This window comes from Homo sapiens, chromosome 12, assembly GCF_000001405.40.
Source record: "Homo sapiens chromosome 12, GRCh38.p14 Primary Assembly".
NCBI lineage: Eukaryota > Metazoa > Chordata > Mammalia > Primates > Hominidae > Homo > Homo sapiens.
In genome coordinates this window covers 26,221,832-26,234,790 of record NC_000012.12, presented here as the reverse complement: position 1 = coordinate 26,234,790, position 12,959 = coordinate 26,221,832, and the positions used below count along the sequence as shown (strand labels likewise).

General features: G+C 39.5%; 1 protein-coding gene and 1 long non-coding RNA gene across 11 annotated transcripts in view, besides 1 other annotated feature; one reads left to right on the top strand and one right to left on the bottom strand.

Moving 5' to 3' along the window:
- The window catches only part of SSPN-AS1 (SSPN antisense RNA 1), a 60,672-nt gene that overhangs the window by 37,037 nt on the left and 10,676 nt on the right, over positions 1-12,959 (top strand). Inside the window, exons 2-4 of one of the 6 annotated variants that reach the window (NR_187466.1) lie at positions 2,806-2,868; positions 3,011-3,130; positions 3,672-6,113. The exons of 2 other annotated variants lie outside the window; for them this stretch is intronic. This is a non-coding gene — a long non-coding RNA (SSPN antisense RNA 1). Of the gene's footprint in view, positions 1-2,805; positions 2,869-3,010; positions 6,114-12,959 lie in introns of those variants that run through there. 3 more of the 6 variants (NR_187464.1, NR_187467.1, NR_187465.1) reach the window with 3 other exon arrangements.
- Positions 14-12,959, bottom strand: part of SSPN (sarcospan) — a 112,787-nt gene continuing 99,841 nt past the window's right edge. For all 5 annotated transcript variants that reach the window (XM_011520853.4, XM_011520855.2, NM_001135823.1 and 2 more), the window contains 2 exon segments: positions 10,412-10,498; positions 14-4,080 (listed from right to left, as the gene is read on the bottom strand). In XM_011520853.4, the coding sequence (XP_011519155.1) occupies positions 3,715-4,080; positions 10,412-10,468 (423 nt within the window). In that variant the 5' untranslated portion in view covers positions 10,469-10,498 and the 3' untranslated portion in view covers positions 14-3,714.
- Positions 7,908-8,543: an enhancer, noted in NCBI's record as "H3K4me1 hESC enhancer chr12:26379181-26379816 (GRCh37/hg19 assembly coordinates)". NCBI's record gives its function as "activates a minimal SCP1, AML or CMV promoter by ChIP-STARR-seq in naive H9 embryonic stem cells {active_cell/tissue: H9 hESC(naive)}" and the evidence as "EXISTENCE:reporter gene assay evidence [ECO:0000049][PMID:30033119]".

Genomic DNA, 12,959 nt, shown 5'->3' with positions numbered 1-12,959 from the left:
CGTCCAAACAGTGTTTTCAGAGATTATGAAAATTTTATTAATAAAGAAAATCTGCATTACACATATCCCCTTTAAAAACAACCACCTCAAACATGTAGAAATGCTTTATTTTGTATTTGCTATTTGATCAATGCCAGAAAAATGAATCCACAACACCAAAGTACAGACCAGTATTTTTGAAGGGGATAATAATCATTTGAGATAATAAACTACTAGAAAATCAGAAGAAATGATTCAAGGTATTCATTTCAAAGGCTAAACCACTAATTCTTCATCCAAATGAATGTTTCCACTGTGAGTCAATACATTTGCCATCAGTTCTTTTTAATGCTATCCTGAATACACAATATACACCTAAAAACATGATAGAGTGCTCTGAGAATAGCAAGAACTGATAGCCAACATGATTTACAGAAATTTATGGCTATGTAGCAACGGTTCAGAGACAATCTCTAGAAAATATGAAGGTACTCTTCATGATAGGAAAGGATTGGTTTTGCAGGGCAGCTTTTAAGTTCATTTCTGATTGTCTTTAAATAACCACTCTACCTTTGTCCCTTGATCTCACCCCTTGCTAAAATTTTATAAACATATTCCAGACATACTGCATGCAAAAAGGGAAGTATAAGAATATTAAGATTCTCATGCCCTGGACATGAATAGAAAACATGTACATAATGTGTTCTCACTGTCAGAACAACCTATAGAAGTGTAAAGCTGGAAACCCCTCAGTAGAGAGATATACACTTTTAATCCAAAGAAAAAAAACAGTGAGGCCTGTTACTTGACTACAGTTTCCAGGGCTCTGGTGTAGCTATATTTTAGGCATAGCTCCAAGGAGCAGCCTACACAAATTTGGATGGAGCGAGGGAGGCACAGATGGTGGTCACGTGAAGGCACAGACCGATCGAGTGGGCTCGGCTACAAAGTCTGTACATTTAGGCTGGTGTATTCCTCCTGTTTCAAGTACTGCCAAGTCCCGGCTCTTCCCCGTCTTTCCAAAGTCTTGATTCATTTAATTCTCCTGAAGGAGGTGGAAGAGGAGGAGGGTTGCACAAATCTTACTCTTTCGTGGTTTAGAGGAGACAGTCACCATCTTGGCGCCTTGTCAGATTTTAAATGTAACATTCTGCTAAGTGTAAAGCTGTGTATCTGTTCCTTTTCTGTTGCCATTATTGTAACTTCAATATTTGCAAAACACAACATCAAAATACTTCAAATCCAGCCCAAAGCGGTTATTCATGCAACACAATTCTTACACTTATCAATATACAGCGAGCTCATAGCAAAGGGATCTTTTCTTTCTTTCTTTTCTGTTTAGTTCTTTCTATTTGTTTATGATTTTTTTTCCTTGGGGACTTAAGAATGATTTAATCATACAATAGTAATATCCCCATTTTATATATGTATAGTATATATGTGTGTGTGTGTGTGTATGTGTATATATATATATATATATCTCCTGACGGTTATACTATTATAAAGCTTATTACAATGTCAACTCTTACAAGTTGCATTATTTAGAAAAAGGAAGCACAGAAGCTAAAATGATTCTACCATTTGAAATACCCTGTGAATTACTGGTAAAGCATAGAGCACCTTAAGGATATACAGAGTCTTAATTTTTAAATATAAAAACTTGTAGTGTTCACTATAAAATGTTGTTGTTAAAGAAATTCGGGATGTGCTTTCAGTGGTGCCTAATTCACGGTTACTAGCATTAACTGCTACTTTCTTACTCTTTAAAGGATGGACTACAACATTCCAGATTCTCAGTTATTTTCTTCTTTGTGTAGGAAACTCAACCAAAAATCAAAATGGATTCAGTTACTGGCTTTTTTTTTTTTTTTTTTTTTAATAGGGCACAAGGTATTTTACAGGTCCTCATCATTCTGCTTGGTATTCTGTTGGTGTAACTTTTGTGTGTGATAAATTCTGCTCCAGAGACTTATCCTCTAAGCTCTCCAATGTGTCTTTTTAGCTGGAGCTAATGTGTAGGAAGGCCATTTTTAAAGCAAATCAAAACATTAAAAGGTTTAACATCTGTTAATCGGGTGTTTTATCTAGAGGACATAAAAGATATTTACAATCCTCTAGCTTACCGACTTAACGCTTTCCTTTATACTGGATATTTATATTGTGTAGAAATTGAAACCATTATCACAATCAGTGGAATTATTCCACTTTCTTCTAAGACAAGCAGGAAAATGTTTTCCTTTTAGGTTAGAATTTCATGATTAGTAAAGTGTATCAATAGGCAATGCGGAGAGGCGAATTGAACTCAATTATTATCTTAATTTCTGCTTTCAACAAAGCATACTGATAAAGTTCTTGATACCATTTATGTTTCATGAATTTCCATTTTTAGCTCCTTCCTTAAAATATGGATACAGTTCAGAATTTAATAGCAACAATAATCACAGAGAGAAGTCTCCCCACCTTGGGGCATTTGTGCTTTAAACCACAGTCACTTAAAAACAAAACAACTAAAACTACCCTCCAAGTCAAGGCCATATTGCTCAAATAAGAACTTCAAAACATTATTTTGATTTCCTAGGTTGACTAAGCATACGAATTAATAATAGGATTATGTATCAAATACAGTTTCATGAATGGAACACATCAGCATTACCCAATCTTCCTCAAACATAGATTGGTTGCCAAGAGAGATGCTTTTCAACATATCACAAATGTGCTGTTTGTATAAACACTTCCTATTACAAATGCTCTTGTTTTTGTTTAAATGGGTGTTTTTAACCTGAGCTATTAATAATTTTTTTTTTCCTTGTGGTGCTTGGCTTTCAGAAGAAAGAATCTTCAGGCCTCTGCTCTTGTGAGAGTAATTTCTCTTAACACCGACAGTGCAGCGTAAGTACAGTCAGAGCTCATTAAATAGACTTCTGAGCATAATTATAATTAACAATTAGCTAGAAATTAGTTTTAATGATTTGTTTTAGATGATAGAATAGAAGCATAATGTAATTATTTTTAAACCTTCTACATCATTTAGAATACAACTACCACCACCTTTCAATTATTGAGAGGCAATCATCTAAAGCATTTGGCAAGTGATCCACTTACGGAGCCAAGCTAAGGGAGCTGAAGAGAAGAGGCCGCCGCCCCAACCCAGGTGTTGTTAGTTATCTAGCCTTTTGCAAAGCCTCTTCCGTTTCTACTCTGCTCTTTAAGCTATTTCATGCCTTGAAGATGTCTCTACCAGGGAAAATAAAGAGATTCAGCTCTTCCCCCACCTCCTGCCTGTCTCCAAGACAGAGTGGGGCTGATGACTGGAGGTGGGAAGGACTAGAGGAAGATGCCACAAAATTTAGCAACTGGGCCTGAAATTCACCATTCACACCATCAAACTGGACTAACAGGAAAGAAGATTATGTAAGGAATGGATAAAATGAGTTAACAGGAATTAACTCCAGACTGTAAAGATAGATCTATGCCATTCTTTCCTTGTTCAGTGTTCTGTTAACTTTTAATATCCCAAAATCAATTTGGATCTTGCTTTCTCTGCAAGAATGTTAAAAAAAATACAATAGAAACCTGAAGAAATGCTCTTTTGTTTCATAAAAATATAAAAATATTCAATTAGAAGAGTGACTTTTATTGTCAATTTTTTTCCTTTCTTTGTTTAAAATTTTTTTTTGTTTGTTTAACCTCAGCTACTCCATGTGCTACTTTCTCTCGCAACTTTGAGCAAGAATGTTAGATCTTTTGCTGGGGGCCTTCGGAAGCCGTGAGGGAGCATATCCTGACACCCACATAGAAGACCTGGTACCTATGTTTCCACATCACAAAGCAGGCCAACAAGCACACAAGGCCGCAGACCAAATTAAGAATCATCTGGATGAGTAAGAACAGTTTGAAAGTGCCAGTGACGCTGGTACAGTCCGTCACATCCCGGTAAACAAAGGTCCTGCTGAGCGGCTCCGAGGAGGGCAGTTTGCACTGGCAAGAGTCGAGTGTGGTCTCACAGGTAAACTGTGTGAGCTGCGAATAGTGGTGGGCGGCAAAGGCCACGGCCAGCACACAGACCGTCAGGCCCAGGGCACTCAGCAGAAAGTATAACAGCTGCAAGAAAGCAGAAGAAAACCTTTCTGGTTACAAAGAACATTGGATGATGATTTGCAAAGCGAATTCATCAAAACTGTTCTTTTTCTTCCCTCCCAGAAATTTTCTGATGGAAAGGCTGTCTCTTCTTAGAAACACAACACCCAAGACATGGAAATAGCTCCATGTTTATTTATTAGTGGGTAGTTCTTAAACCCTGATCACATTTTCACTTGCCATCCAGATGTTGGGCCCTTTTCAAGAGTTGTGACAACCATATTAGCTGGACTGTGGAATGTTTTTGTCTAGATATTGCCAGCAGTTTAGATGAATCCCAAACAAGCTAGCCATCCCTGGATGACATGTTGTGCTTATTTTGAACTCAAGAACTTCTGATATTAAGACTGAAACAAGACTAGGAAGTAAAGAACAGGTTTTTGTAATGCAAACACTGTGTGGGCCAAAATTAGCAATGATGGGTCAACTAATAGCATAAGTTAATTTTTTTAAAAGACTACATTCAATGTAGTGATTGCCAAACTGTATCCATAAACATGAGAATCCCCAGTAGGAGGTTGCTGGGAGAAAATAAATTATGGCTCCAGAAGTCAAGTGACTCAACGTCAGCTTCATCGCCTGTGAAACTTACCCCAAGCCCAACAACGACCATGTGATTCCTGAGCCTGAAAAAACTCTAAATGGTTCCTCAGTCACCAAGGTTTTGAACACTGTTGGCCTCCAGATTAGCTTTGGGATTGAAAAAGTCTGGTTAAAGTTCTCGCTCTGCTGCTACAGGGCTGTGGGAACTCTGAACAATTTAGGGATTTAGCTTACACCTAAAATATTCTGAGCAAAACTTGTGGGTGTTCACTGACATGGCCACAATAAAATCTATGGAACAAGAAATATTTTTGTGATTGAACTCACCTACTAGAAATGTTAATCTTAATGGTCCACCTGCTGAGACTCTAGGTAAGGCTCAGAGTCCCCAGCTTTTGAGACTAGTACACATAGTTCTTAGTGCAAGAATTACATTACCACAGTCAAAAGTTGCTCTCTACAGAGAACAATTCTGGTAAATGGACACTTCACAAAGTAATATTAGTTCCAGTCATTTCCAGGTTCAGAGGAAAGTAGCTCTGAGAAGATGATGCCCTTCCCCCACCTTCCCTTATATATAATTCAAAATTAAAACATATATGTGACACTACAAAATATGTGTACAAAAGTCCTCCAAATGAGTGTGTTCCACACAGTGATGATTTCAAGTGTTTTCAAGTCTTAAATTTGGAATGCTGTATTTACATTTTTACTTTTTCTTTTTCTTGAGTGGTATGTGTGCATGTATGTGTGGGTGTGGGTGTACATACTGGTTGCTGGTGCCCTAAGCTTATCTCTGGTTTGCCTGTAAGGGAATCCATCAGGGATTACATACAGCTTGACTGTCTATCTAAGGTCACTGGAAGAGCGTAGAATTAGTTAAAGCCATTTTTTTCTTAATACATCTTAATTAGTATCATGGATTCTTTAGATCTTTTCATCAAAGAGATCTTAAACACACATTCTTTTTCCTCTTCAAATCATTTAAAGGATTGTCAGATGTAACCTAAGTATCTTCATCTGTGAAACAGTTTATAGAAACATCTTATATCTCAGGGACATAACAATGATTATACTCAATATTAGTGTTCCTTGGAGGAAGGGAACCAGATATATACAAAGTGGTACCATCATAAAAAAAATTTTTTTTAAGAGATGGAGTCTTGCTATGTGGCCCAGGCTGGTCTCAAACTCCAAGCCTCAAGTGATCCTCCCACCTCAGCCTCCCAAAGTATTGAGATTAGAGCCGTGAACCACTTCGTCTGGCCCTCAATATTTTCAGTGACTACATTTTATGCAAAAATTGGAGTTTTTAGCCTAAAAATATGGATTTATTTTGTAGAACCAATGGGGAAGAATATTTGAACAATTCTGGGTTGTTCTGAAATATTCAGGCTTGATTACTGACTTCAAACTCTTGGTGCCAAGAGCCAAATTAAACTGTCTTGACCATGTTCTGTGTGTGTGTGTGTGTGTGTACCCATCGTAGCTGTATTCCCAGTACAGCCAGCAGAGAACTGGGAACAGTTTGCTCTGGGAACAATGGTATATCTATGATTTTAACCAGGGAAGGCCCAGGTTAAAGTGATCATTTCCCACCTGGTAGTCATCTGCTTAGTAGAATGGCCCCAAATGGAGTTTTCTCTACCTGTTTTATCACCAACAATGGATGGAAGTTGGGGGCGGGGGTCTTGTGATAACCTTCCTACCTCTAACATACATACATCCTTAAATAGCAATTTCTTTTTTTTTTTTTTTGAGACAGAGTGCAGTGGCTTGATCTCAGCTCACTGCAACTTCTGCCTCCTGGGTTGAAGCGATTCTCATGCCTCAGCCTCCTGAGTAACTGGGACTACAGGTGTGTGCCACCACACCCAGCTAATTTTTGTATTTTTTTTGATAGAGACAGGGTTTCACCATTTTGCCCAGGCTGGTCTTGAACTCCTGACCTCAAGTGATCCTCCTGACTCAGCCTCCCAAAGTGCTGAGATTACAGGCATGAGCCACCGCACCAAGCTCCTTAGATAGCAATTTTCTGTAACATTTGTTGGGCAATATCTTGAAGCAATGACAATAATCCCTCATTCTCAATCTGCAAATAATTCAAATAGTTGAAAAAGATTTTACTCATTCATGATAGTCACAAAAATCCATTTGCTGAAAATGGGAATTTTGTCTATTTTTAAAAGATGACTTTTTGGCTCAGAGATTAAAAGATGTGCCCAAGACCATTTAACAAGTGCGCAGCAGTACTGGCTGATGATTAACAGCGTGAACCAGGGAGTCAGGTTCTCCCCTCACTAGCCATGGTCCCTGGGCAAATTCATCAATCCCTGTGCACCTGTACTTCTTCATCTGTAAACTTGGCATGATGATCATAATAGCACCTACTTCACAGGATAATTACAAGGATCAAAAGAGTTGATGTCTGTAAAGAACTTAGAACAGCGTCTGGTATACAGGAGCCTATTTAAGTATTTGTGAAATAATAAGCAAATTAGTAGGGATGGAAAGAGCTGCCAGTTCTGAGGACTGAGGATATTAATTCGACTGCTTTTGTCTTATTTTGTCATGTGGGAGTAACAATGCATTCTTGGCTTGTAGGAAGGATGTAAACATTTACACAAACACAGTGGTTGCTCAATTTTAATTAAACCGTTTATGCTAGAACCCAAAGAGAACATAAAGAAAAACCATGCCCCTTAGCTTCTCTGAGTATGAATAAATTTATATCGTGCGTATCTATCTCACACTTTAGTGACTCGGCTTCTCCCACTCCGGAAAGCATCAGGCCAAGTAAACTAGAGAAAGCCACGGAATCAAGTTTCTTATCCATTTTAAGACATAAATATATACTCGATCCCCCCTAAAGCCTGCAGGCTTTATCTGCAGCGCTGTGGCATTTTTCCTTCATGGCTTTTAACTCATCTGACAGCAACAAGCTTCTGGGTTAGAATCTGTAATTTAAAATCAAGTGGCTTGTTTTACCTACATGGCACGAATACACTATAAGGAAGAGTGTTTACGATGACCTTGAGAATCCGAGCAAATATATCTTGATAAAAGCCCGGCGCGGGAGGCATCTGTCTTGCGGGTGTCAGCCCATCAGCCCGGCGCTGCGCAGCGGGCGGAGGCGCGGTGGCCCCGGGCGCTTATGTAACAGCAGCGCCCGGGCGCGTCTCCGCTCGCTCGCTGCCTTTAATTGGTACCCGGCCTGCAGCTTTCACGTTCGGTGACCTCGGGAGGAGGGTGTTTCTGCTCCAATTTAATTACCTTCCCCGGTGGCCTGAACGGGAAGGGCCCTTCTGCAGCGCACTGCTCGGGAGGAGGCTGCCGCAAGCAGCCCAGGGGCCTCCTGGATGTGGGCAGGAGGGAACGTGCCCTGGAATGTTTCCGCAGGCACATGCCCCCGACACGTTTCCGAACCTCCAGGGGAGCCCTGAGAAAGTCAGGCCACTAGGAAAGGCAGGAAGCGCGACCTGCAGCCGATGCCCAGCCAAGCCCAGAGGCAGAGAGGCAAAGCCCAGGGAGGAAAAAGGAACGCGCTGGTGGCATCGAGGGCCTGCGAAGGGACCCTACCCCCAATCCCCGAACCCCCAGAGGGCTGTCCCAGCTTGAGAAAAAAAAAAGAGCCCGTGGCTATTTTCTCTAAGCGAAAGGGAGGGTGCGTGTGTGTGCACGTGTGGACTACAATGAGACTGTCATCATGGCCCGTTTGCTTGTCCTGGCTATCTGGGCATTCAACAGGAGGAAATAAATCCTCTAACAAAGCTTAGGCCAGGGTCCCGAGATGGGGGCACCAAAATGCGGCTATGCTGATGAGAAACGCCCTATGAAGATGCATGTTATGCCTTCGCCCCCCCAGTAGTGTGAGAAGCATAAGGGAAGTCAGCTGTCCCCTGTTGTGTCATTGGAAAATCTGGAGATGGGCTGAAGCTCACTTTCAACCTGAAGATAATGTAGCATGCAACCTTAGAGAGCTAGCAGCAAGCATCAAGAAAGGTCACGTTCAGGAGAAGAGGAAAGTGCCTCAGTATTTGCCAATGCCTGTCACGGGTGGAAAAAAAGAGGTAGCTAATGAGATCTTCCTAGTGGGGAATCCTCAACCTGGCTGACATTGGCAGTGACTTTTTTTTTTTTCTATTTTTTTTCTCTTACTCCCTATTTTAACTAAGGTGCAGATGCTGAGATGGCATTGGGGTCTCTCTTAAGCTGATGCTTTTGACTCTGCTGTTTTCTGGGATCATCTGGGGGGAAAATGAGGGTATTTCACATAAACTAATAAAAACCTAGTTTGGGGTGTTCTTCAGCTACTGGATGAAGTTCTTGTAATTTAACAGGCCATTTCTTACTAAGCTTTCTGGCTTTTTTTTTTTTTTTTTTTTTAATCACCAAGCCTTGCTGTTTAGTCAAACCTCTCCAAACAAATAGTAAACATAGACTGATGTCTACTCTATCTGGCCTTCTTTCAAGGAAAGTCCTCAGACAGAAAAGTATAATTTCCAAATGAAGGCATATCCACCAAAATTCTAACTTCATCATTTAAAAAAGTAGTATCTATTAACTGTTTACTTAGAAAAGTTATAACTATTGGAGAACATTTCAAAATTAGAGAAAAACTGCAAAATGCAAATATAATCCCACCACTCATAGATAATTGTATTTTCTATGCTCATTAAGAGCTTTTATTTTTTCTGTAGGATAATATCATACATTTTGTGTAACCAGCTTTTTAAAATTAGTTATTATAATGTAAATGTTTGTATCTATTAATTACTTTTTATAGCATGATTTTAAAAGATATCATCCCTTTGCTTTTTTATGTCAACAGCTTCAATTATACTGGAATCTTCCAACACACCTTATTTTTTTCACCTTAGTAACTTTCAAATAATGTCATTCACTTACTTTTATGTCTGATGTTTTCTCATTGTAGTGAACAAAAAAATCCAGTTTTTATATGTTTTCTTGTAGAAGAAAAAACAATGTTAGTGGACCAAATTAAAAAAAAAAAGATTAAAGATAGCTTTGTATTATTTGCTATAGTAGTTGAGAGAAAATGAAGGAATTTGCTTTCTACTAGCTCTGATTGCTAAGTTCTATGTCTATGTCCTTATACTCTGAAAGGTAGTGTCTTTGCTTCCCTTTGGAGTAGATTCTGTTGTGCAGTGAAAATGCTGTGTACTTGAATTGGCTCCAGCCAAATGCACTGTCCCTAACAGAAAAAAGATACACACAAATGAAAGACACACACGCTTGCCAAACCACGCATATCCCATCACCCGTCCCCCACTTTGCCCTGAGAGTCTTGGCACAGAGCATTTGGATGCGCCCAATGTACTTTTTCTGTCTCAGTGATCCCACCTACAAGAGGAAATACACTTAGACTGCTTCATTATTAAAATATCCCAAATAACCCCCGAGATATGGAAGTGGGCACTGAAAGAGATACCTTTTTTCTGGCCAAGTGTTTTGTTGAACTGATGAATTTTCAATATTCCTTTTAAGGGCACTGAAGGACAGACTTCATATCCTCCAGGCCAACCCAGTTCATGGAAATTAAGACTTAAAAAAAAAATCAGCATTACCTTTGAGGTCTGGATCAATGCCCTCTTAAAACATTTTTTGGCCTGCCTAAAAATGCAATTTCTAGACTAATCAGATATGCAACCCCTTAAGAAGGCACTCCTTTATTTTGTACTTGGATTTCTTTCTATGTGATGATAAAAGAGAAAGAACAATCACAACTTACTTTCATAGAAAATTGAATACATGTCCGTTCGTCAACCTGATATGAGACACAAAGCATAAACAAGCCAAGATAGGCCACTAAGCAGACCTGCAAGGGAGAACACAGAAGAAAGGATGTTATCAGGGTACGTTGTGCGTTCAAATGACATCAGTCTCAGTATCTTCCTGCAGTCACATCCATGTTATAAAGCTGTCCGTTTCTTTTACTTATCTTTATGTACTGTGTTTTTCTTTCAACTGGTGGAAAACCACTTTAAAATTAGTAAAAATCAATTGATTTCCACTTAGCCAGCATTTACTAAGTTCTTTTGATATGCCAGGTGCTATACAAGATCCTTCAGAGTATATGACGATGAATAAAGTTTACTCAGTGTTCATCAGTTTACAATCCGGTGAAAGCCAAAATGAATGCACACCAAATTCTAAGGCAGGACATTTCATGTTAAATATTATTCAAAGAAGTACAAAAAGAGGAAGAAATTACATTGAGTTGGGCGATATAAAAGGCTTCCATTACGACACGGATTTGAAATGGTCCTTGAAAGAAATGAAACATGATTACTAACATTAGCTGAATATTTACTACATGCTAGAGCTCTTCTAAGGGCTTTATATTGTATTCCTCCTGTAATTGTTTTATATTGTATTCCCTCCTATAATTGCTACAAAATCCTATAAGGTAGGTGATATTATGATTCTCATATTGTAAGTAAGAAAGAAAAGGCACAAAGCCTTTTCTTTGGAACCCGGATTCAAATCAGGTAGCTTGGGATAAAGCAGCACCATAAGCAATAGCACAGAGGAAGGGCTGCACAAAGAATGTGCTGAAAGAACAGCAAATGCACACCCATAGTTTAAAACAATGACATATAAGCGGGTGCGGTGCCTCATGCCTGTCATCCCAACACTTCGGGAGGCCGAGGCGGGTGGATCACCTGAGGTCAGGAGTTTGAGACCAGCCTGGCCAACATGGTGAAACCCGTCTTTACTGAAAATACAAAAATTAGCCAGGCGTGGTGGTGCACACCTGTAATCCCAGGTACTCGGGAGGCTGAGGCAGGAGAATCGCTTGAATCTGGGAGGCAGAGGTTGCAGTGAGCTGAGATTGTGCCATTGCACTCCAGTCTGGGTAACAAGAGCGAAACTCCATCTCAAAAAAACAAAAAACATATAGAGCAAAAAGGGTAGGATGAATATCTGGGGATACGGGATGGATTTAGTAAGTAGCGGTACTCCCTTGAAAATTTCTGAGCAGGGAATGACATGATTTGAGAGACACATTTCAGGAAAATTAGCAGTGATGTTGGGTGGGTTGGCAGTGAGAACATCAGGGTATTATTTTGCTAATCTGAGCAAGATCAATATATCAGGTGAACCAGAGCTCAGATAGTAGCATGCAAATTCAGAGAAAGAGATGGGGAGGACAGGCATAGTAAAAGCTGAATCTATACATCTTGGCTATTGCATAACTGATGGGAGGACCTGGAGAGGGAGAAACCAGAAGTGACCTCCAAGCTTTGGTGTATCAGTGACAAAAAGACGGTGGACATGCCTGCTGAAAGAAGGCTGGCCAGAGAAACAGCAGCTTTGAGGCAAAATATACTCAACCTGTTATTTAAACCGCATTTTATTTTTCATGAACTAGACTTTTTAGAACTAGGATTTAGAGTTTCTAATCAAAGTATATCTATTCACATTCAATTTTGGAAAGCTTAAAACATTGATAAAGTTCCACACTTTCAAAATAGAAAACATAAGCAACAGAATTGCATTTCCTGATAAGCACAATTATCCTAGAGACAGAAGTTGAAAGAGCAGCTGAGAGTCACCTAGCAAGTCATTAAACAACTGGTTTGCACATATTCATAGTTCCTACCCCAGGGCCAGCTTCAAACCATAGGCCAGATTCAAACCATATTTCCTACCCCAGGGCCAGCTTCAAACCCTGTTAGGGTGGAGAAACTGTTTGCAAAGGCAACATGGCATTTTCAGGTAAAACTTCTATCCTCTTCTCCCTTCGGTTACATAATCAATAAGCTGCCTATGCCCTCATCCACTGCCAAGTTGTAGGTTGTTCAGATTTCTACTGGACCATGAAGTCAAAAGCCAAGCCTTCTCTTACTATAGACTGTTTCCAGGGTTTTCCATCATTGAATGGAAATGGCTGCCTGGTTTAATAGCAGGATGGAATATTTGCAGTGGAGAGACACAGCATTAAAACATGTGAGCATGGCATGGACTGGAGAGATCTGGAGAGAAAAGAAAACAGATAGGACCCAGGGAGGCAGCTTTTCAGCAGAAGACTGGCACATACAAAAGTAAAGATACTGAAGTTATTCATGTAGCCCCTAACATGGCATTTTCAAGTCAGGATGAAGCTTTTTTGTAAAGCTCATTTGTAAAAAATACTAAATTGAAGGATAAGTTTGATAAGAACTGTAGGGGTTTACTATTTATTCTCACATTAAGAATTTATAAAACTTGAAACAATCAAAGAAAGACCTACTTTTTGTTTATTGGTGACACACCAGATTGAGGTTTGTAATCCT